The sequence below is a fragment of the Homo sapiens genome, chromosome 8 (assembly GCF_000001405.40).
Source record: "Homo sapiens chromosome 8, GRCh38.p14 Primary Assembly".
Lineage (NCBI taxonomy): Eukaryota > Metazoa > Chordata > Mammalia > Primates > Hominidae > Homo > Homo sapiens.
The window spans coordinates 53182357-53207530 of NC_000008.11; the positions used below are offsets into that span (position 1 = coordinate 53182357).

A 25174-nucleotide genomic window follows, 5' to 3' on the forward strand; every position below is an offset into this window, starting at 1 on the left:
CAGTAGAGATCATAGTGGTCCACAAAGCTTAAAATATTTACTGTCTGGGCTGGTCTCGGTGGCTCATGCCTGTAATCACAGTACTTTGGGAGGCCAAGGAGGGCAGATCACCCGAGGTCAGGAGTTCGAGATCAGCCTGGCCAACATGGTGAAACCCTGTCTCTACTAAAAATACAAAAATTAGCTGGGTGTGGTGGTGCGTGCCTGTAATCCCAGCTACTTGGGAGGCTGAGGTGAGAGAATCGCTTGAAACCAGGAGGCAGAGGTTGCAGTGAGCAGAGATCATACCACTGCACTCCAGCCTGGGTGACAGAGCAAGACTCTGTCTCAAACAAACAAACAAAACAATTTACCATCTCTTCACTCATTTGTAAACATTTATTAATTGCTGGCTTAGATCATTGATTTATGATGTTTTGTCTTGTTTAATATAAGCATTTAAAACTACAACTTTCCCATGAATCACTGTTTGAACAGCATCTCACAACTTTGTTATGTTGTGGGTTTTTTCCCCATTCAGACAAAACTTCAATTTCTTTTGTGATTTCTTCTTTGCTCCAGGGGTTATTAAGTGTTGCCTAATTTCCAAATGTTTACATAGATATTCCCTCCACCCCTTTTTCTCATTACTGATTTTTAGATGAACTCTGTTGTGGTCAAAAAGCATATTTTATATTATTTCAGTCCTTTTAAGTGTATTGAAAGTTATTTAAGATCCAAAATAAATGTTGTCTGGGTAGATATTTTATTTACACTTGAAACTAATTTGTATTCTTCTGTCTTCAGGTGTTTTATGTATGTTAATTATAGAGGTTCTTTTTTATACAGATATTCTGTTTTTCTTTTAAAAAAAAACTTTGTTGAAATATATCCTTTTTTTCCATCTAGTTGACAAAGTGCCTTGGCCAAAATTCAATACACTCAATATCTGCGAGTTAAATTTTGAACTCTTTAATCTGTTTTTTGTATAAGTTTTCTGTCTTTACATTAGTCTCATGCTCTTTTTATTACTATAGCAAGCACTGATAACAGGTGGTGTGTATTCTAGTATTACTTCAAAAATATTTTTTGACTATTCCAGATCCTTTGAAACTCCATCTTAATTTAGAAATGCCTATCTCTTTTTTCAGAAGTATCTGCTTGAAATTTGTTTAGAATTACATTAAATCTGTAGATCAATTCTGGAAGGACAAATATTTTTTAACAATATTGAATCTTTCAATCCATGAATATAGTATATTTAGGCTTTCTGTAATTTCTCTCAAAGATGTTTTATTGTTTTTAATGTAAGAGTTTTACATAACTTTTTAAGGGATTTATTTCTAGGCACTTGACAGGTTTTGATACTCTTGTAAATGGATTTTTAAAAATTATTTTCCAATTATTTATTGCTAGTATATAGAAGTGCTACTTATTTTTTAATATATTGACTTTTTAGCATGTATTTTTGCTAAATTCACTTGCTAATTCTAGTATTTTTTTACATTGTAGATATCATAGGGTTTCTACATACGCAATCAGAATTTTAGTTATTCTTTACCAATTTGTATAACTTTATTTCTTATTCTTTCTTTATGAAGTGGCTAGAAGGCTAGAAGTTCCAGTACAATATTAGATTAACATATGAAGAAGCAGTGAAAGGGGACATCCTTGTCTTGTTCTAAATCTTAGAGGGAAAGCATTCAATATTTCACCAATATGGAGGAGGTTACTAAAGGCTTTTTTTCTTTAAGAAATCAAATATCAGTTTTAGAAAATTCTCTTTATTTCTAGTATACTGAGAGTTTTATCACAAATAAATTATAATTTTTATCAAATACATTTCTGCATTTATTAAGATTATCTTTTTTCTATTATTCTGTGTATGTAGTAATTGATTGATTTGGATATTAAACCAACCTTGCATTTTTTAATTAGATTCCACTTACTCATTATAGGTCCATTTTTAATATATTGCCAGATTTGGTTTACTGATGTTTTCTTAAGGGTTTTTTGTGTCTATGTTCATGATGAATATTGACCTGTAATTTTCTTATAATGCCTGTACATTTTAAAAGTTAGGATTTCACTAGCCTCATAAAAAGTATAATTGGAATTATTTGTTCCTTTTCTGTCTACTGAAAGCATATATGTATTAGTCATATTATTTCTTCCTTAAATGTTTAACTGACTTCACCAGTGAAACCATTTAGTCTTGAAACTGTTATTTTGTTTTTATTTTGTTTGTCTTTGATGGAAAAGCTTTTCATAATGAATTTAATTTTTTTACTAGATATATGAAAAATCAGATTTTTTGTTTATTCTTTTGCCTGCTTTATGTTTTAAGAAATTGAGCATATCATCAAAATTCTTGAATTTATTTACATAAAATTGTTCATACTATCATTTATTACATTTTAAGTATCTTTAGGATCTGTAATATTTTTTCCTCCTTGATATTGGTAAATTGTTTCTTTTTTGATCAATCTTACTAGGGGTTTATCAGCTTTACTCATTGTCTCAAAGCACACTTTTTTGGCTTGTTGATTTTGTCTGTTGTCTCTTTCCTACCTCATTAATTTCAGTTTTTGTCTTTATTATTTTCTTTCTGCTATGTATGTTTGCTTTTTTGTGCACTCCTGTTTCTAGTTACTTAAAGTGAGATCTTAGGTTATGTATGTATTTGAGAAGTTTCTTCTTATCAAATATAAGCATTTAAAATTGCAAATTTCCCTTTAAATAATGATTGATCTATATCCCATAGATTTTTATATATGGTCTTTTTAATAATACCTAATATAAAATCTTTTGTAATTACTCTAGTTTGACCCATGGGTTTTTCTGTTGTTTTGTTTTGATTTTTTTTTCTTGTTGGTATATTTGCTTTTTAGAAGTGAGTTCAAATACTAAGATATTTTCTAGATGTATAACTCATTAATTTGTAGTTTAGTTTCATTGTAATCAGAGTCACACGTTGTATATGATTTCATTTCATTTCTTTTTGATTCACTGAGGTTTATTATATTGCCCAGTATGTGATCCATCTTGGTAAATGTCCATGCATATTTGAAAATGATGTGTATTCTGCTATTGTTGGGTGAGATTTTCTATAAATGTCAAATGGATCAGGTTGACTATTTGTGTTGTTTAAATTTTCTAAAGCTTTAATGATTTTTGTCTACTTGTTTTGTCAATTACTGAGAAATATTTGCTAAAATCTCCAGTCATGATTGGAATTTGTCTGTCTCTTTCTCCCCTCTCACAAGTTTTGTTTCACATATTTTAAAGTTGTAATATGAGATTACTATATACTTCAGTTTACAATATTTGATAAATTGATTCTTTTGTCATCATGATATGTATGTCTTCATTTGGTAATATTCTTTTTCTTGACATATAATTTATTTGACATTGGCATGGTCATATCAGCTTTCTTATGTTGAGAGTTGCATGTTACATCTTTTCCTATATTTTCACGTGTGGCTTATTTGTATCTTTATTTTTAAAGTAGTTTTATGAAAAGAGCATATTCTGAGGTCTAATTTTCTAATTCAGTTTGACAATTCTTGCCTTTTAATTAGAATGTTTGACTCATTACATTTAAAATCATTAATGATATTAATAAATTTAATCTTAAGCTCTGAGTAGTTTTCCCTTTTATCATATATGTTTTCTTTTTCTTTTTCTTCTTTCTAACCTATTATTTAATGAACTGAAGGTTTTTTCAAAGTTTTTGGTTTGTTTTTAGTATTCTATTTTATCATTTCTATTGGCTCTTTAACTATATCCCAATATTTTTTAAGTTGATATGCTAGACACTAAAATATGAATATCTAAATATCTAAATTGATTAAGATACCCTTGGCTATATTAATGTATTATTCTACTTCATAAACAATATTACAAATTCATACCAGTTGAATTCAGTTTACTCAACACAATCTTTGTGCCCTTGTCATATATTTTACTTTGACATCTGCTATGAACAGTGTAATACATTTTCATTATTTTGCTTGAAGTAGTCAACAGATTTTTTTATTACCCATATATTTGTTTTTTCTATCTGTATGTCTTGTCCTCCAAAGAGTCAATGTTTTAATATTTACCTTCAGCCTGATACAAATTCCTGTATATTTGTCTATCTAAATATTTTTATATTGTCTTCAAATTTTAAAGAAGAATTATGATACATATAGAGTTAAAGGTTAACAAGGTTTTTTCTTTTATCATGCTTGATCTTATTCTCAAAATATTTGAAGTTAGTGATGAACTGAATCTAAGTAGAATTGCAAGAAAATTCAGACTCAGATCAATTACAGATTAGAGTGACTCAACCATCAACCCTAACAATCAGACAGAAGATATGTAGAGGTTAAAAAAAAGACAAAGAAAAAAACAACAAACAAACAAACAAAAATGTGGGAAAATGAATAAAGCCTCCAAGCTCCATGAGGAGGTGTCAAATGGTCTAACATACATGTAAGTGGAACCCCAGATGTCCTTTAGAAGAGAGTTTAAGAATGAATGAGGATTCATCCTGTCTGTGACTCCTTGGGCTTCTAATCCACTGTTGGATCCATTATCAACTTTCTGTCTCTGAAGACCAAAGAAAGCAAATAAAATAGCAGTAGGTACAAGCAAAAAATATTTGTAACAGAAACTTATTGTTCTGTCTTGCAACACAAGGTGTGAGACATTCCCATAAGTTATTACTTGAACGCTTTGGATGTATGGCTCTAGAATCTAGCCATGCCACATTAGGTAGAGGGCAAGGAAGATAATATCTAAAGACACATGTAGCATTTATCTGAGTTACCTGGAAATACTATACAGTCTTTCATGAAGACAGTGTAGTTAGCATAGTTGAAAAAAATGTGGAGACACAATGTTTCTGGTAATAGAAGGCCTAGTAATTATGCATAACTTTGTTATTGAGCAAATTTCAATACAATAGCAACTAATAAGAATCATCCCCTGCTTAGGTAGGCATAGACTTTGCCCTTCTGGCTGTCTTCAGATATCTATTTTCAAACTTCCAGGTATATTTTTTTTCAAACTATAGATACAGTAAGAATCCCTTGAGCATTATTCTCTTGCAATAAAACAGTTTGTAACTAAAGATAATTTCCCATAACCTTCCTTTGAACATTGTTATCAAACTTGACAGTAATTCCTACTCCTATAACTTCTAGGGAAATTCTTTAAAACAATTATGATTTCGATTTGTGTTACTCTGATAATAGTGATGTTGAACATTTTTTCATATGGTCGTTGGCTGCTGCTTTGTACCCCAAACATCAGTGCAACACAGTATACTCATGTAACAAATCTGCACGTGTACCCATGAATCTAAAAGTTGAAATTATTTTTTTAAATGCTGAACAGTTCCCCATCCCCTAGTTTAATAAAGAATTTAGAGTAAAACAATTGGAAACTATCATAATGTCATGATTATAAATAGATGCATAAGTTAAGTAGAAATGGATGTGATTTTGAAGATGAACAAACAATTTTTAAAGTAACCCCAAAACTTGAGGGTTAAGTTCATACAGTTTTGACTTTTCATGATCACCCACTACCATCTTATTTTTTTATTTTCATATTCCCAGGCAATATTATTTCTGCAGAGGCAACATTATGTGAAGAATCTTATCTTGTAAAATAAGATTCTTCTAAACATTTTATCTGAATGAGCTTATAAAAAGGGTTATTGAAGAAGAATTTAAAGACAGCCAAGTATCAATAATCTGGAATCGTGAGATATTTAGGCTCACTTGGGAGTATATTTGATGCTAACAGCTTAATCTGTGACTACTCAATGTCTCAGCTCAGTTTCCTTTTTTCCGTATCTAGAGTGGTGAAAGTCTTTACTCAAGTAGGTTTTTAAGGCAAAATGTAGCATATTTGCTTGATCCGATTAATATTTAAATTGGAATTCCAGAAAGACATTTTCCAAAATGGCTATGTAAAAGAGGTATGAGGTCTAATAGTTACCTTTATAAGTGAATTCCTGGAGCTTCAGAAACCTGAGTGTCTTTGCTACACTCAGTTCCATCATTCCTCTGCTGATAACATACAAGAAGAGAGATAAAAAGGCATTTTTAATATAATCCATTTGGATGTTACCATATAAAAGATAAATTTTATGACAACTATGAGGCTTCAGGCCAGAATCCCTATTGGGACTTATATACTGCTTCCCAGCTGCAGAACTCAAACTGGACATAAACATGGGTTTCTGAATTAAGGGTCTGGAGAGCTACAGGCTCAGAACTACACAGTCCTCTTTGGCCTTGGTGTCACTGTTTTACCATGAAGTGAGGGAGGTATTTCTGCAGCGTAGGGCTTTCTGAGGCTACCTTATGCTTCAAATGAAAATGCTGGTTTGTTGATGCTATGTCAAATCATATCTGCAGAATCCTGGGCTCAGAACTTGCCAGCAGCAAATCAATGCCACCCTGCTTAGGGAGAACCTCCTCATGGTATAAGATACTTTCCTTTTTTCTTCCATAATGAATAGAATAAGCAAAATATGTCTTTACCTTGACTAGAAAATCCAAACGTAATTAGCAACCATGTTTATCTTTACATCATTTAAAGCATCATTGATATCAGTGAATTTTTCATAAATATGAGTTCTGGTGCTGTTGAAACATTTTTCATGATAATTAGCAGCCTTAGCAAAAAAGAGACTTAGACGGTCTTTAGGAGTAATCCTGCATTTACTGTAACTGTGAGGAATGAGAAATCTGTTCAAATGATATTGCTAGAAGATTTCTAAGTAAAAGCCTTAGGGAAGTTTATATAACTAAATATTAATATCTGAAAATTGAGTTTTCCCTTTACTGAAAAAGAAAACTTTTCATACTCAAAAATATTTTGAAAAAAGTCCACTTCACTGAAAAGTGGTGACACAATTATTGAAATAATATATACCTCCTTTCTAAATCGATACAAATAATATCAACTTCCTTTATAAATTAGTACAAATGTAAACAAAGATCTCTTTTCTTTGTTTACCCATGGATTTTGAAACTGTTAATATTAACCTAATAGAGTGCTTATGTTTAGTAACTATGACTCAGTAAAGATATGTAAATATAGTTTATTCAAATAGTTAACTTATTTAGAACTAATTTGATTATAAATTTTCCTTGAACAGTCATTCCAGTTGTGTTTTAAATAATCTGTTTCATTAAAGATATTTTCAAGTTTCCTATAGTTATTCAAGACACAGACTTTAAGGTCATTATACAAATTATTTCTAGTTAATGCAAGTTTTTATAAATGTTTTCCCATGAAAGGGTTTCTAAATAACTGCAAAAACCTAGATTGTAAAAAAGACCCACAAAAGAAAAAGGTAGGTGTGGGGGTGGTGGGAGGAGTTCTTATCAGAGTGAAGAGCATTGGATCAAAAGATCCGGGCTTGGGGCAAGCATCTTGGCAGGCTACTCTGCTCACTCGCCTCTGGATGGATTCTGGTTTCTCCATTTACCTCTTAGGTATGATACCAAGAACTGCATGAAGCACACCTTTGAGGGCATACAGGTCCTGTGAATCTTGAGAGGCAGCATCACACAGTGTTAGAGGGTTAATTTCATTCATGAAATTGAAATCTACCAGTTCCAGTACTCAACCCACAAACAACCCGTGGGTCCCCAAATGTCTCCCTTACACTACATTTATTTCTTTATTTGGTTAGATCCTTGAAGTAAAGCAAAGACTCATCACAAATGAATACTTTGTGAACTGTCGTTGTTGTTGTGGTGGTGGTGGTTGTAATCAACACAATCTTCTGGAGAGAGGAATTGCCTGAATCAGAAACAAACTCTCCTGATTTTGAGTAAGAGTTTACAAGAATTTGTATTGCTTCCTTTAGTTATCTTTACGTAGATAATAATGAGCTTATCATTGGAATGTTTGTTGTTTGCCTTTTTATTTAAAAGCACCTCAAGAATCTTACTTTGGAGAAAGAAGATAAAAACCCATTAAAATTCTCACACGATGCATCTGCTCCACTTGGGCTTGTACTTCAGGGCCTTTGCACTTCCTCTCCCTCTTCCTGGAAGTGTTGATCCAGGTATCCCCATGGGTGCTCCCTGCATGTCTTAAAATCTTTATTCAAATCTCATCTCATTACTCAGGCACTCCCTGATGACATTCTAAAGAGTACCCCATCTGTCTTTTTCCTTCCACGCTGCTTTGTTTTGCTCTAAAGCACTTGCCCCTCTCTTATATTATGTTATGCATCTGTTTCTGTGTGGTAAGAGTCTATTTCTGTCATTGAAATTGAAGTTACATGAAGTATGAGACTTCTTTATTTTTCATTTGTTGAATTAATAACTGATGGGAAAAGCACCACATATATTTGTACTTATATACAAGAAATTTAAAGTTTTGGATTGTATAATTCCATTTAGGAATAACATAAAGTATACTTTTAAGTAACAGGTTGATTTTCTCAAACAGTGGCCATTCAGGCGCCTTCTTTTTAAAACTGCATGTTCTGAGGCTCAAGTGCAATGAAAATGATCCAATTTATTGCTCTCCATAGTCAAAACTGTGCCTGTGCCTTCCAGCCTTCCTTCCTGTGCCCGCTTCTTCCCACACTTGCTGCTGCTCTCTTTCCACTGCACCCACACCGAGGGGTTTTCATCGGACCCTTAGCCCTGCCGTGTTTTTTTTTCTTCTTCTTTTTTGAGACGGAGTCTTGCTCTGTCACCCAGGCTGGAGAGCAGTGGCGTGATCTCGGCTCACTGCAACCTCCGCCTCCCAGGTTCAAGCGATTCTCCTGCCTCAGCCTCCCAAGTAGCTGGGACTACAGGCACGTGCCACCACACCCAGCTACTTTTTTGTATTTTTAGTAGAGATGGGGTTTCACTGCGTTAGCCAGGATGACCTATTAGCAGATCTCCTGACCTTGTGATCTGCCTGCCTTGGCCTCCCAAAGTGCTGGGATTACAGACGTAATCCTGGCCTAGCCCTGCCTTTTAATTTACTCGAGTCTGCTTTTGGGATTCATCCATGATGTCACGTGTATCAGCAGTTTGTTCCCCATTTTTGAGATTCATTCACCATGTGACATGTATCTACTGATATAGCAGAGTAGTGTTCTATTGTATGGATATGTAATATCTTTTTCTGCATTTACCTGTAGATAGAACTTTGAAATGTTCCCAATTTGGGGCTACTATGGAGAGAGTTATAATGGACCTTTACACATGAATTTTTATGTGGGCATATGTTTATTTCTTTTAAGTAAATACTTAGGAGTGGGACTGCTGGTTAATATGGCAAGTGTGTGTTTAAACACTTTCAGTGTTTTCGAAGTGGCTATACCTTTTGACATTCCCATCTGCAATGGCTGAGAGTTTCTATCACTTCAGGCTTGGTATTGTGGTATCACATTTTGGTTTTAATTTTGATTTCTCTGACAACTAATAATGTTGAGCATTGCTTTTAATTTTCAAAAGTTATGGTATTAAATACACAAAGTAAAATTCACTTTTTGATGCACATTTCTATGAATTTTGATAGATGCATAGGGTCATGTAACCACTGCCACAATTAAAGTACAGAATGGTTCCATCTCCCCCTCATGCACACATTTCTCTCATGCTGTCCCTTCATAATCAAATCCTCTCCTACATTTACAGTTAATGTAATTATGAATACTGTTGGGCTACATAAACCATCTTTTACTTGTTTTCTATTTTTTCCTTGTGCTCTTTGTTATTTTTCCTTTTTTATCCTTTTATGGACTAATTTAGTATTATCTAATATTCAATTTTATCTCCATGATTGACCTATTAGTTTTATATCTTCACTGTATTTTTTTAGTGGCTGTTCTGGGATTTACAACATGTGTCTTTAATTTATCACAGTCTACTTTCAACTAATGTCAGAATCATTCACATATAAATTAAGAACATCCTAAGAGGAGATTTACATTTCTTTCCTCCCATTCTCTTACCTGTATTTCCATGTATTTTATTTCTAAATGTTTTAAATCCCACAACACATTAATACTTTTTCAAATAGTAAACTGTCTTTAAAATTTTAAATTATTGAGGTATAATTTGCAAAACATTCGATCTTCTTTTAAAGAGACGAAAATACATATAGGACAATATTTTCTATTTACCCACATACACACCATTTCCAGTGTTCTTCATTCCTTTGCACAGATCTTAATCTCCATTTGGTATCATTTTTTTTTCTTTCTGAAGAACTTTCTCGGCTGTTGTAAAACATTCCTTGGCTTTTATTTGCCTCAAATGTCTTTATTACACCCTCAGATTTTTTAAGAAAAATATTATTAGAAATGAATGTGGGATTAACAGTATGTTTTTCTTTACACTTACTCAGTTTGAGTTTTCTTGCATCTGTGAATTTACAGTTTTCCTCATGTTTGAAAAGTTTTCAACAATTATTTCTTCAGGACCTTTTTCTGTCTCCCTTCCTCCCTCTCACCTCTTCTTCTGAGACTTTAATTACATGTATTTGAGGCTGCCCAATACTTGCCCAAAGGTCACTGAGACTTTTTCATTCCTTTCTAGTCTTTTTTCTTCTGTGCATAATGTTGGAAAGTTTCTATTGCTATGTTCTCAAATTCACTGATTTTTTTCTTCCACAATGTCAAATCTGTTAATCTTATCCAGTAAATATTTTACTTTATACATTTAGTTTTTCGTCTTTAGATGTTTCATTTTCAAATATCCTTAATATGGTGATGTTTTACTGCAAATCTTGGAGCAAATTTATAGGATTTGTAGTTGCTGTTCTGAAGTTATTCCTTGACACCTCTATTGTTTCCGTCATTCCTTACTCATTTTCCTACTGCTTGTGGATTATAATTTGCTTATTATTTGCATGTGAAGTATTTTTTGATTGAGTGGGAAACATTGCATACATCCCATTATTAAATGTTTAGATTTTGTTGTTTTACTTTTAAAATGTAGTTTTCTTTTGGAGAGGCAATTAAGTTTCCTCTGCATTATATTGTTACTTTTGGAAGATTATTTTTAAACTGTGTTAGTGTAGTTTTAGAATATCCTTATGTCTACAGCTAATTTAGCCCTAGTACTAAGATATGACCCTTCTAGTAGTTCCACTGATCTTCCCAGGTTTTCAGCAAGCTCTTTTTACTCTGGCTGGACAGAATTCAAATGCCTCCCCATTCCATGTGAACTTTGGGATTGTTTTTCATATTGCCACCAGGAGTTAGTTGTTCTTTGAGTGGACTTGCAGTTTTACTCCTCACATGCATAGATTAATACTCCACTGAAGGCTCAAGGGGACACCTTTGCACATTTCCGGACCTCTTTTTCTGTGTTGCTCCTTCTTGTCTGGTTATTTGGCCTGATTATTTCAGGCACATTCACCTCCGTGAACTCCCACCTCTGTCTCCTCTCTTCACACCAGCGAGATGGCTGGTCTCAGTCATTCTAGCAGGAGTAGGAGGTGAATGTTAGGGATAATTGAAAGTTAGAATCAGCATATGTCCATGGATTAGATGTAGTGTGTGAGAGAAGAAGAGACAAGTATGTCATCTACATTTCTGTGCTGAGAAACTGGGAGGATAGAGGTATCCTTAATTGAAATAGGAGTTTGTGGAAGAAAAAAGGTTTCTAAAGAAAGTGCGTTTAGGATATGTTAATTATGAGGTATCTATGAACTAGTCTAAGGAGATATTGAGTAGGCAGTTAGATATATATTCTCTGGAGTTCGGTAGAGAGATCTGAGCTGAGATATAATTGGGACTATCGGTCTATACGGTACTAATAAAGTACTGTATGGTGCTCTAGGTGATTACTGGGAGGACAATGGTAGATAGAAAAAGGAGGCGGTCCAGTGGCTGAGCTCAGGGCACTCTACGGGAACAGGGAATCCAGCCCTGGGGGTGCAGCTGTGGTGAAGGCCAGTGGGTCTGTGTGGGTGAGGTGGAGCCTAGGGCTGCAGCCAGGGTCCAGCTACAGCTGACAGGCCCTTCAGGATGATAGATTTGAGGCACTTTTCTCTCTTCTGTGTACTTGATAGTCTGGGCGGTGAAGACATGACTGACAGGGTCACACCCTTGCTCCTCTGCCTGCGGAATCAAAGACTCCATCTGGGGCTTGTGTGTCATCTGAAAGCTACACGCTCAGATCTGGCAACGGAGAGGGAGCAGGGCTGAAGAAGGAAGAGTAGCGTCCGGGCGCAGTGCACAGCCCAGAGCACAGAGCTCCCGCAAGAGAGTGAGCCCCATATTGTTGGTGGAATTTTCCAGTATTCCAGTTAAGTCCCTTGTTTCATTGAGTGTTTTCTCCTGTGCCTCAGTCAGTAAGAGCACAAATTACTGGAGATCCTTCTTTACAGAGACATGTTTGGTGGCAGCTGGAGTTCTCCCCACACCTATTTTCCATATTCTCTGACTGTGCCCTCTGATTACACTTAGCAAAACTGTCCAGGCCGTCTGATTTCAAGACATAGCTGACCTGCCATTTGGGGCGTCGGCAGGGAAGCCTCATCCACTCCTGAGTGTTGGCAAAATGACCGTGCCCAGCCTCTCCCACCTTTAGCTGTGGCTCTTGACCCCCCTCCACAAGGTGTGGGCCAGTCTCGAGCCCACGCGTCCACATCATTGGTCAGCTGGTCAGTCTCCTGCGTGTGTCTCTTCTCTACTCATTAAACTGCTTCTAGTAACCCTGGTGCAATAAAGAAAGTGGAATGCGCCAGCAGTTGTCAAGCATTGGAAAGGAATCAGCCTCACTACTTTGGATTTGGTTCACCCTTAGCTTTTCTCACAGCTACACCGTCCTCAAGCATCATCAGTAGCTGCTGCCTCTTCTCTCTCCTCTCTCCTTAGTTCATTATCAGCACCAATAAGCAAAGATGCTGGCAAAGTGCACAGTTTGCACCTCTTCTCCTTGGTGGTCTTAAGCCACAGACCCTTTTACACAACAGTCTCCATGCTGTCTGCCCTGCACAGCTCAACCTCTGCAGAGAAGTTCCCTTTACCACCTCCACCTCCTGCCTCACCGAGGGCTGCTGCAGACCACTGGGTCACCTGCCATCCAAAGGGGCTGGGTGGGATTGTACCAGCTGGACACTCCACCTACTCCCCACCACCTGCAAATACACAAGGAATGCAGGACCCACTCTGCCAAGGCTGTCACATCCCTTCTCTCTGAAGAACTGGAAGTTTATTTTCTGGTGCATGGAAGACAGAATCTCCCTGACACTATGTGGATTGTAAACACTCCCATGGTCTGAAAGGACCACAGGTTTTTCTGCAGCTCCTTTCTAGCCCTTGCCAGTCCCTGAGCCTGGGCTGATCTGGATACTTTGTCTTTCCACTTTGTCTTTCTCCCTGTGCTGTTGGGCCTTCTACCTCCTTGGAGGTGTGAATTGCATCACCCTTGCAGTTTGTGCTATCTTTCTGTGAAGTACATACATTGGATGTGGGACAGTAATGACAGCTGTCACTGTCTTGTTCCTTCTGACTCAAGTTAAGTTTCGGTCTGTCTTGCTCCACTGCAAAAAAAAGACAAAACAAAAGCAAAAGTGAACCTGAAGAGAAAGGAAAGGAGGGAAGACCTCATAGCCAGATCTGCTGGGTTTTGTGGAGTGATTTTCTTTCTCCTCCTTTAAGGGGCAAATGCTTTTTCCACTGGTACATTTGAAGTCCTCCAACTATGGAGAGGTACCAGCTCAGGACAGGTGGCATCCCAACACAGAGTGTTCAGACAGCCTGACCTTTTCAACTCTGGAGGGAAGAGATTTACTGTTGGCCACTCCTGGGTCTTTCTGGTATTTCAAAGGAATATAAGGTTCTGTGAATAGGAAATGAAGAGGTAAATATGTTAAACCCATTAAATCCATGATTGGTCGATATACTTCTGTCATTTTAAGAGACTAAATATGGAAGGACGGCAGATGTGAAAACCATCGTACAATTTTAAAATGTCACAATTAAAAATGAACTGGCCCTTGCCCCCTAAAAAAGTGAATCTGTCATTAAGTAGCAATATAACCTTTGATAATTCACTTTACTTGTGTATCTCAGGTGCTTTGTGTGTAAAATGAAGCAGGTAGACTGATAATATCTAATACCTCTTTTAGTTTGAAATCCTCTTCTTTCTTTCCCTCCTCTACAGGCAGACAGAAAACTTAAATTGTAGGGCATTCCAAGGTCTTCCAATAATATTCAACAAAGGTAACTTAAATAAGTAAAAATATTATAAAAACAGAAGTCATTGGCCATGAGATTTCAAGGTCTACTTCGTTACTTGCTAGAAGAAAATTAAAGCAAAAAATAAAGAAGGAAAGATCAAGGCTAAAAGTAGAAAAAATGTAGGTGGCAGGAAATATAATTGCATAGAAGTTTGAGAAATAGGCAGACTAAGTAATGAATTTAATATCAAAATGTCGAAGAGTCTAAAAGGGATAATTGAAGGTCAAGAGTGAGCCAGAAAACCTTTGACTGAAAAAGCCAAAAATATACAGGATAGAAAGTAATACAGAAGATATAAATCTATTAAAATATTTATGTAAACAAATGAAAGCTATAAAACTTGTGGCAACAGAAGTAAAAAGTAGGGGAAATAATTAGCATTTATAGAATACTATTACATGTCAGGCATTGGGTTAGCTGGTTTACCTAATCAAAGCAATTTATGAGTTCACTGGCAAATTAAAAACAAGAAACTAGGGCCACCATGAATAATTATTGTTTATGATGCATAAGCTTTGAGGATGCAAAGAAGTCTTGATCGGCGTTTGTGAAGTCAGTAGGACTTGAGCATGGGCCTGTTATCTGTATTTTCAATGTTTCTCATGCATGGTCAGGCTTGAAAATCACTGGTCTAGTGTGCATCCTTTGAGGCGGGATGTTTGCATTCAACTGGTGAAAGCAATGCACTGCTATAACTGCAGAAGACAGCAGAGGGCTATGGAGATGAGGGGAGACTCCCATGTAACTGAGCCAGAAAGCTGGGTGGGTGGGGCTTAGACAAATAGAAAGGAGAGGGGAAGGAAAGCAGTTTTGAGGTTGGGGCAGGCCTGGCTTCTCAGGGAGTCAAAGTTAGTTGGTTTGGCTGAAAAAGAGGGCATAGATAACATGGATTTTAATTAGAGTAAGACTAGAAAGGAAGTTGATGTCATAATTGACCAGTCTTAGCCACTGGTCAGGGTGGTATCTGAATTGGCAAAGCCCAGATGGAGAGTGAAAGCATTCGCAAGAAAATTGTTGTAAGCACAAATTGAAATATACGAAAAGCTCCATCCAGGTTTATATCTGATATGGGTTGGCTGTGTCCCCACCCAAATCTCACCTTAAATTGTAATTATCCCCATGTGTCAAGGGTGGGGTCAAGTGGAGATAATTGAATCATGGGGGGCAGTTTTCCCCATACTGTTCTCGTGGTAATGAATAAGTCTCATGAGATCTGATGGTTTTATAAATGGGAGTTCCCCTGCACAAACTCTCATGCCTGCCACCATGTAAGATGTGCCTTTACTTCTCCTTTGCCTTCTGCCATGATTGTGAGGCCTCCCCAGCCATGTGGAACTGTGAGTCCATTAAACCTCTTTCCTTTATAAATTACCCAGTCTTGAGTGTGTCTTTATTAGCAGCATGAGAATATACTAATACAATATTTAAGACTCCATAAAGAATAAGAGCAGGTATGTCAGGCAGGGAACAGTATTGAGTTCTAACAGCAGCTGGGCACTACCTGGAAATACTTAGGTATGCATGTGTTCAGGGGGCAGGAAATGGAAATAACCAGAACCAAGCAGGTCAACAGGGTTCCAGGTAAGGGGGTCCCAGATAAGGGTCTTTGGGTTCCAAATTCTGTGGCTCTCACACAGCTCCCAGGAACTAGAGTATGCATGGGGTAGCAAGTCAGAGGGCCTCACCAACTAAATGGAAAGGCACAGTGAGGTCCCAGGGGAAAGCTGAAGTCCAGAAGGTCAACGGGGTTCACACAGAGAAGCCCACCCCAGGACCCCAGGTTCTGGGCCACTCTGGCATGGAAGTGATTCAGGACAGGCAAGCCCCCAAATTGGGGCTTTCCCAGGAACGATTCTTGCATCACCCAGGAAAGAATTCGAGGGCCAGCCAGTGGTGTTAAATAGCAACACTTATTGATGCGCCAGTGTACAACAGCAGCAGACATACTGCTCCTTGCCCAGCAGGGCTACTTCATAGGTAGTGTGCCCAGAGTAGCAGCTCAGAGGAGCTTTTGCAGTCATATTTATACCAACTTTAATTCTATGAAAATTAAGGAGTAGTTTATGCAGAAATTTCCAGGAGTAGTTTAAGCAGAGATTTCTAGGATAAAGGCAGTAACTTCCGGGTTGTTAGGTTGTTGCCATGGAAAGGAGCGGTAATTTCTGGGTGTTGCCATGGTGATGGTAAACTGACATAGCACACTGGTGGACAATCTTGGGGAGGTGCTTCCTCCCCAGAACTGTTTTAGCTAGTCCTCAGTTTGGTCCAGTGTCTCAGTCCCACATCCTACCTCACCAACAGAGCAGAGAGGAGCCCAGGAGGTAGTGTGTGTTTGTGTGTGTGTGTGTGTGTGTGTGTGTGTGTGTGTGTGTGTGTGTGTGTGCATGTGAGAAAAAGAGGAGGAAGCCGGAGGAGTGCGCGGACATGGGAGGGAAGACATCAGGGGAGAGCAAAAGAAAGGGGACCCCAGAGGTGGGAGATGGGGCACCCTGGTCTGCACTGGAAACTGAGGGAGGTCCGCTGTCCCGGGAAGGATCCCCAAGGAGATGCGCAACCCCCAGGTTCTGGTCACAGGTATCAACAATGTGTGCACACCTGAGAGATTCCATGTGAACTCACTTTTCACAAACAAGCGCTGAGATTGTGAAAAGTGGGTTCATAGGGAATCTCTTAGGTCCTTCCCTACTGCAAAATGCTGTGCACAACCAGCGCATTGGGGCAGGCTGTGTGGAATTACAGGGAGAGTGCTTTAAAAAGGAGGCGGCCAGTGAACACAGTTCTTCAGAATTTTTAAGGTAAAAGGAACTTATGTAATACCTTCAAGGACTAGCAGGGCAAAGAAAGGTGATTCAGTAACCACAGGTATAGTGTGCTGGACTATGTTCCAGTGGGAGAATAGATCACCCTAAATTCATGGGCACAATGGAATAAAATCGACCAAAGAATCCTATAAGGGATATCTGTTTTCCTCAGTGATTCTCTGTGAAACCTTCTGGTTCTTATGAAATGAATCCACCAAATCCTCCAAACTATGAGAGCTAGTACCATGGAGTGCCAGGGAAACCAAGGAAGTGCTTTTGGGAGAATAGGAATATACATTTAAATGTCTTGGCATTTTGGCTAATTACTTGTGATTTCCTAGGGAATAGTCACAAGATGATACTCTCATATCCGCATATTCTATCAACCTTGTGCCTTGCAAAATATTATGCTCTTCACCACTGAAGAGTCCAGGAAGCAGTTGTTTCTATACATAAAATGTGCTTAAGACTTCACATCCCTGGAGTTTAAGATGAAAGGAGAAGAGATACATCACAAGGCACAAAGTTGCAGTTATATAGGATGAATAAATCTGGAGATCTAATGTTCACCTCCTGGTTAATATTTTTGTACACTGGTAACTTGCCAAGAGAGTAGCTATTAGGTACTCTTACCGCAAAGAAAGAGAAAGGTATCTACAGTATATGAGATGATGAGTGTGTTAATTTGCTTAACTGTAGAAATCGCTTCGCCATGTGTCTATCAAGATAAGTATATCAAAACATTATGTTGTACATCTTAAACATATACAATAAAAAGAGGAAACACAGTTTAACTGAAGAGCAGAAGCCCGAACTATTGTGGTGTGTTTGCATTGACAAAACCAACAATTTCTTTATTACAGTGATCTATTTTGCTATGAAATTGCTCTGGGCAAAACTAAAGTTCATTAAAAGAAAATAGTTTGGAAAAATTTCTCATCAGATAATCATTCAGATCATTTAGTGGGCTTGGGCTTTTAACAAGGAACAGAAGATTTCTCCCAAGAAAGATTTTCTCAGAAAAATAGGATTGCTTTTTCATGGATGATGATGTTATTAAGAAAATGTTTAGTTTTCAAGAATGAAAACCTTGGAGTTAACAACAACCCTTTGAAATCTAGCTCAGAAAATCTGTCTGGATTTTGATTCAACATTTGCCAAAAATATCTGACATACAGATCTAACCAGACATTGCCAGACATAGCTCAATATTCTGTGATTAGAGTTGCTGAACTCACTTCTGCCTTTAGGTCACACCAACTTGAAGCGTAGTTACCTTCCAGAAGGCAATAATGGGCTCTAGACAGGCTTCTTAATTCACTATAAAACAAAGACAACAAAAAGTCTTAATTCGGTCAAACTCATTCTCCATCCAGTTTTGTTCCCTTGCTGGCAAGGAGTTGTGAACCTTTGGAGAAGAGGCGTTCTGGTTTTTGGAATTTTCCACCGTTTTGCGCTGGTTTTTCCTCGTCTTCGTGAATTTATCTACCTTTGGTCTTTGATGCTGGTGACCTTTCGATGGGGTTCTTGTGTGGACATCCTTTTTGTTGATGTTGATGCAATCCCTTTCTGTTTGTTAGTTTTCCTTCTAACAATTAGGCCCCTCTGCTGCAGGTCTGCTGGAGTTTGCTGGAGGGCCACTCCAGACCCTGTTTGCATGGGTATCACCAGCAGAGGCTGCAGAACAGCAAAGATTGCTGTCTGTTCCTTCTTTGGGAAGCTTCATCCCAGCGGGGCACCTGCCAGATGCCAGCCAGACCTCTCCTGTATGAGGTGTCTGTCAACCCCTGCTGGGAGGTGACTCCCAGTCAGGAGGCACAGGGGTCAGGGACCCACTTGAGGAGGCAGTCTGTCTGTTAGCAGAAGTAGGCTTCAGAAAGTGGGTAATGACAAACTCCTCCGAGCTAAAGGAGCATGCTCTAACCCAATACAAGGAGCTAAGAACCTTGAAAAAAGGTTAGAGGAATTGCTAACTAGAATAACCAGTTTAAAGAAGAACATAAATAACCTGATGGAACTGAAAAACACAGCACAAGAACTTCGTGACACATACATGAGTATCAAGAGCCAAATTGATCAAATAGAAGAAAGGATATCAGAGATTGAAGATCAACTTAATGAAATAAAGTGTGAAGACAAGATTAGAGAAAAAAGAATAAAAAGGAACAAACAAAGCCTCCAGGAAATATGGGACTACATGAAAAGACGAAACCTACATTTGATTGGTGTACCTGAAAGTGACAGGGAGAATGGAACCAAGCTGGAAATCACTCTTCAGGATATTATCCAAGAGAACTTCCACAACCTACCAAGACAGGACAACATTCAAATTCAGGAAATACAGAGAACACCACAAAGATACTCCTCGGGAAGAGCAACCCCAAGACACATAATTGTCAGATTCACTAAGGTTGAAATGGAAGAAATGTTAAGGGCAGCCAGAGAGAAAATAATGATGAATGTGACCTTAGTTGGTAAGTGTTGCTTGTTAACCCTGAAAATATAATGTGAAGTACATGTGTAACACAAGACTCTTAACTGAAATTACTTGAGGTTTAGATTTCTATACCTAATCTTGGATGTATTCCTTAGGGTAAAATAAGCATATTTAATATTCAAACTACAGTGTTAAATATTTCAGTTGAAGTACTTTTCTCCCAATTCTGTTAATTCAGCACAATGCTCATCTCTGAGGATATGCAGGCAAGTAAAATTTCCTCTTGTTAATAAGTTCATTAAGACCCGGAGCCATGGTTATTAACACCAACTATACTGCAGAGTTTTCTGTGGCACTTTTGAAATACAAGGACTTCCCACTTTAACCCTTAGTGTTGGTTTTGGACAGCGCTCGGTATCTATTACTTTTATGCCCTGCAGAGGATTCTGATACCCAGCTAGTGAAAAGAATCACTAGTCTTATAAACATACTTTGCTTATCACCTCTTCCTTTATTTTTCTAAAGGTCATTTATATGCAATTTCTCATAAAACTAACTATGCATCTTTCCTGTAACCCAGCAGTTTTACTCCTAGGTAGTCACTCAAAACAAGTAAAGACATATGCCCACAAAAGGACTTGTGCAAGAGTGTTTATGACACTTTATTCATAATAGCTCTTGTGTCCAACAATAGGAAAGTGGTGGTGTGGACCCTCTGATACACTCATATAATGGAATGCCACTCATTAATTAAAAGGACTGAATTATTGATGCATGCAACAAGATTAAATCCCCAAAACACCATGCTTAATAAAAGAAATCTCACACAAAATAAAGGTACTTTAGTATTTAATACTGTATTATAGTATTTATATTACATTCTAGAGCAGACACAACTAATTTATGGTGGAGATAATCAGAACAATCATTGTGTTCAGTGAGGACAAAGTTGGGGAGAAGGTCAGTGAGTGTTGGTTGTTGGGAAGGCAAGAGGGAAATTTCTAATGTAATAGTCATAATCTATTTATTAATAGGTGTTTGATCATTCTATTAGTCTGTTTTCACACGCTGATAAAGACATACCTGACACTGGGTAGGTAATTTATAAAGAAAAAGACATCTAATGGACTCACAGTTCCACGTGGCTAGGGAGGCCTCACAATCATGACAGAAGGTGAAAGGCATGTCTTACATGGCAGCAGCAAGAGAGCATGAGAACCAAGCACAAGGGGGTTCCCCTTATAAAACCATCAGATCTCATGAGACTTATTCACTACCATGAGAACAGTATGGGGGAAACTGCCTCCATGATTCAATTATCTCCCACCAGGTCCCTCCGGCCACATATGGGAATTATGGGAGCTACAATTCAAGATGAGATTTGGGTGGGGACACAGCCAAACCATATCAGTCATACTGGTGCATACATTTATCAAAACTCATTAAATACTACACTTAAGATTTGTGTATTGGATTTTTTGTAATATTACCTCAAAAGAAACAAGTTTAAACAAATCTTGAACACCTGATGACACATACATTGAAGTATTTAGTGGGAAAATGTAACAAAGCAACAAGCAACTTACTTTGAATAAATGAGGTGTACTGATGGATAGAGAGCAAGATGGATGGATAGGTAGATAGGAATGTGATAAAGCAAACAGAATAAAGTGTAAATGTAGGATCTAGGTGGTAGATGGTGCAGAGTTTACTATAAAATTTTTTTCAACAGTTTTGTATATTTGAAAGTTTACATGACAGAATGTTAGGAAAAACATTAGAAGTGTGCATGTAATGTTCAAAGTGAATACTTTATCCATAATAACTCACTGATTTTGCATAAATCTTGTGATGGTGAGAGACTAGCTGTCCACCAAACCGACTCCTCTTCTTCCTGATTACACAGCTATTTCCTAAATAGTCATATGCTTAAATGTGGTCAGGCGACTGAGTCTGACCAATGGAATGGGAGTGGAAGGGATGTGCACCATTATCAGGCCTGGCCCATAAAAACCTTTCTCATCTGAAATTGGATGGAAACATGACCTTGGATACCTTTTGTTGAAGATAGTGGAGCCATACACAGTGAGTCTCTTAATCACTGAAGGGATGATGCTTGACAATCAGAAGTATCAGTTTTGGACTACTTGTGAAGTAGAAATACACTTCTAGTTAAATCACAGAAGTGTGTGTTTTATTTATTATAGTAGCCCGTGCACAACTCTACATGCCAGGTCCTATTAGTACCTTATTTAACATATGAGGACACAATCCAGGAGTCAGGTGGCAGCTCAGCAGCAGCCTTGCCATCCAAACCCAGGCAGTCTGGCTGCAAAGTCCAGGCTCCTGAGCCTTACACTATCTTGCCTCTTTCTTCCTTGCAGGCAGAGATACAAGATCATTGTTTGTTTCTCTTTTAAGAAGGTCATATAACCCTGTGACAGTGGGTAATCCTTCAAAATACACATTTATATTCTTGGGAGCAGACTTTTCTTGCTAATGGTCGAGCATGCTGGTTAGCCACCATTTCTGCCAGCTGGCAAGCTTCCGGGTACATAATGTCTGGCGAAAGCAGAGGGAGGCAGGAGGGAAGGAAGAAGAGGACATGAATATCAGCATCGCCAACCCTTGCAGACATTCTATCCCCCATTGCTAGCCTAAATGATGAAAAAGAGGGGGTGCCCCAGCCATTGCATAAAGCTCCCTGGTATGTTTCCAGCTGGTGTTTCTGCTGGCCCCAAGAATTCACATCCAAATAAGGGAGACTGAGCTCTCTTCCTTAACCTTCACCTCGCTCTGTCTCATTAGTAGTATCTTTGAAATAAACCATGTGTATTGATTTACCGAACTCCTGGTAATGAAGCTGGTGCTTACAGGACCCACAATGTAAAAAAGAGAGGTCAGAAGAGGACCTCTGCTGTTTCACTGAACTGAGCTCTGATGGGTTCACCACATCCTGCAAAATACATGCCTCAAATACAGCATCTGGTCCTCCAACATGCAGATGCAGGAAGTGGAAATTTTATATATAGAACTATTACCATGGTGTCTTTGGAACTTGTGTGAACCATCACGCTCCTAATTGCCAGATGCCATGCAGCTTTGAGTTACATTTAGGAAATTATCAACGCTGCCAAATTCACATTTAAAGACAATAACAAGGGGCACAGCAATATCAAGTAGGCTCGCAAATCAAATGCAAAATCAAATGAAATTCAGCCACAGACCTTCTGTTTTCATGTTTGTTATGCTTTACCAGGTAACTGAATGTGAAAATAAACCCATGAGGATTCTGTATTTTTTAATGTAGAGCTACAGGTTACAAATCAGTCAGCTTTTGGCAACACAATAGCGTTTCTGAATATTAATTGTTAACAATCTCTGAGCATTGAAATGATCTGAAATATCTTAGATTTTAAAATAAAATCTTCAACTTTCTCTAGGTGATTAATGTCGGAATAGAAATTCACCAAACTTACTCTTTAAACTGAACCTTTAGAAAAACTCTTGCGACCCTAGCCCAAATGAACCAATGGCATTTTGTCATACTACCCTCAGCTTCTTCCACGTGTAACAGATGTCAGGGTTTGGTTTTCAAATGTTTGTCAGCTAAGTCCCCAGAGACCACAACGTATGCTCATGTGTGGCCCTCAGGGCTGCTCAGTAACAAGAAAAAGAGTGGACCCCAGACTTTTGGCTCTGTTCTATCACATAATTTCTGAGGAGTTTCAAATTCAGTTAACTACTCAGCTTCCATATAATGTGCCTCCCTAAAATTCATGTCCACTCAGAACCTCAGAATGTAAACTTATTTAGAAATAGTATCTTTGCAGATGTAATCTAGTTAAGATGAAGTCACACTGGAATAGGGTGGGCCCTAACTCCAGTCCTTATAAGAAAAGAAAACAGAAACAAAGACACATGGGAGAAGGCTATGTGATAAACAGGCAGCAATTGGAGCCATGTGTCCATCGTTTGTGAAACACCAAGGATTATGAGCAGCCTCCAGAACCTGGGAAGATTCAAGGAGGAACTCTTCCCGAGAACCTTCAGAGGGAGCCTGGCCCCACTGACACCTTGATTTCAGACTTCCAGTCTCCAAAACTGGGAGACAAACATTTCTGTCCTTCTAAGCCACCCAGTTTGCAGTGCTTCATTATAGCAGCCCTGGGAAACTAATACAGGAAACACTATCTGTTAAAGAGGTAGTGTTTTAAGGATTTATTCCTAAGTATTTGAAATCGGATCAATGGGAAATGCAAAATGAGTCTTTCCTCATTTTGTTCAACTTTCCTCTGAAAGAGAAAAAGGAACAAGTGTTTCCTCTGAGGTCACAGCTACAGACGCCAGCTAGGCACTGCCAGCCATCTGTCATTCTCCACTATTATGCTTTAAGGAGCAGAAGACTTTCTATGGTAAATAACAGATAGAGAGCAAGCCCAGGGCCCCTTCTTCCAGCATGATCCTTGCTGTCTTCCAAGATGGCACCTGTGAGACTCTAGATCTGAGATCATCCTCATTGATGAAAGTGTCAAAATATAGAAGCATTTCTTTGCAAAAAAAGTTTAGAACCAGGCTGCAGAGAGTGATATTGGCATGCTACTTGTCACATCAATGAGCTTGCACTGGTTGTCTAGCCTTCTGAAGTCTCTATTTCATCTTTTATGAAATGGAAACAATGGCAATGCCTACCTCAGGATTATTTAGAGAGGTAAACAAGTTAAAACCTGAAAAGTGTGTAGAACAATAGTCAGCTCACAAAAGCACTTAGTCAATAATAGCTGTTATTGTCTAGGACAGTCCCAAATGTTCCAGAAGGAAAAGTTCAATATAGAGATTATCATTGCCTGGGAGACATTTGCTTCGCCTTCTGTTTTCAAATGCTTGCAACATAGAAGACTGGAGTGAATCCAAGACAAGTGTTAATACGTTGTCCAGATCTTTTATCCCAACTGATGTAAAACCATGAAGCAAGATAGCTATCTATCTCTGGTAAATAATCTATGTATTCCCTTGGCACGAGCAGCTTCCATGGCTTTCTGATAACAGTGATAAGAAAATTATTTGTCCATTAGAAGAACACCTTTTTTATCTGCTTTCTTTCACTGTATGGACAGAGTGCTCTTGACTTTTAGCCAAGACTTAGAATCAATTTGAAATGACACTGTTGATAGAGACAGCACCAAGTTTTCCTCCTGTGACACAGAAAATTCCAACTTCATAGGCATCTGAACCAGCACTTTGTGAGGCTGATAGATGCCTTCATTATTCAGAAAACACAATTATCTTTACTGTGTGATCTGTCATGAATATTCTGACTTATTGAATGTGATAGTTCCTAGTCTCCCACAGTATGTTAATTCTAGAAAAAAAGTTGGTCACACTTATAAGGAAGATCACCCATTTACTTATTGTGTTTCTCCATGAAAGTTGACTATTTGGCTTGTTTAGTTTCTTTGAACCCTGTATCGACTCATTTACTCAAAGCATAGAGCAAGAGAGTGAAACATCAAAGTTGGATGGTATCAACATTTCATTGCTTCAAGCTTACATCCAAATTTCACATGGTCTTCAGCTAAACTGCCTCAGGAGAGCTAAGAGCCCCTCTCTGTCTCCAAGTGAGTGCAGGTCCCTGCATTCAGTGGGCACCAAGTGAGCAAAGGAGCACATCTTCATTTTGCTTCTGGAGACTTCTGGTTTCTGGTCTGACACAAAAGAGCTTACATGTTATCACCTCTGTTC

At 37.9% G+C, this 25174-nt stretch overlaps 1 long non-coding RNA gene and 1 pseudogene across 1 annotated transcript in view, besides 4 other annotated features; both read left to right on the forward strand.

The window, feature by feature from the left end:
- LOC105375836 (uncharacterized) overlaps positions 1 to 25174 on the forward strand; it is a 52683-nt gene that overhangs the window by 4786 nt on the left and 22723 nt on the right. The gene's annotated exons all lie outside the window — the stretch shown is intronic.
- On the forward strand, positions 11990 to 13019 carry EI24P5 (EI24 pseudogene 5; annotated as a pseudogene).
- Positions 13389 to 13468: an enhancer, noted in NCBI's record as "active region_27351". NCBI's record gives its function as "activates an Ori minimal core promoter by ATAC-STARR-seq in GM12878 lymphoblastoid cells {active_cell/tissue: GM12878}" and the evidence as "EXISTENCE:reporter gene assay evidence [ECO:0000049][PMID:35858748]".
- Positions 13579 to 13688: an enhancer, noted in NCBI's record as "active region_27352". NCBI's record gives its function as "activates an Ori minimal core promoter by ATAC-STARR-seq in GM12878 lymphoblastoid cells {active_cell/tissue: GM12878}" and the evidence as "EXISTENCE:reporter gene assay evidence [ECO:0000049][PMID:35858748]".
- Positions 14856 to 14905: an enhancer, noted in NCBI's record as "active region_27353". NCBI's record gives its function as "activates an Ori minimal core promoter by ATAC-STARR-seq in GM12878 lymphoblastoid cells {active_cell/tissue: GM12878}" and the evidence as "EXISTENCE:reporter gene assay evidence [ECO:0000049][PMID:35858748]".
- Positions 14916 to 14985: an enhancer, noted in NCBI's record as "active region_27354". NCBI's record gives its function as "activates an Ori minimal core promoter by ATAC-STARR-seq in GM12878 lymphoblastoid cells {active_cell/tissue: GM12878}" and the evidence as "EXISTENCE:reporter gene assay evidence [ECO:0000049][PMID:35858748]".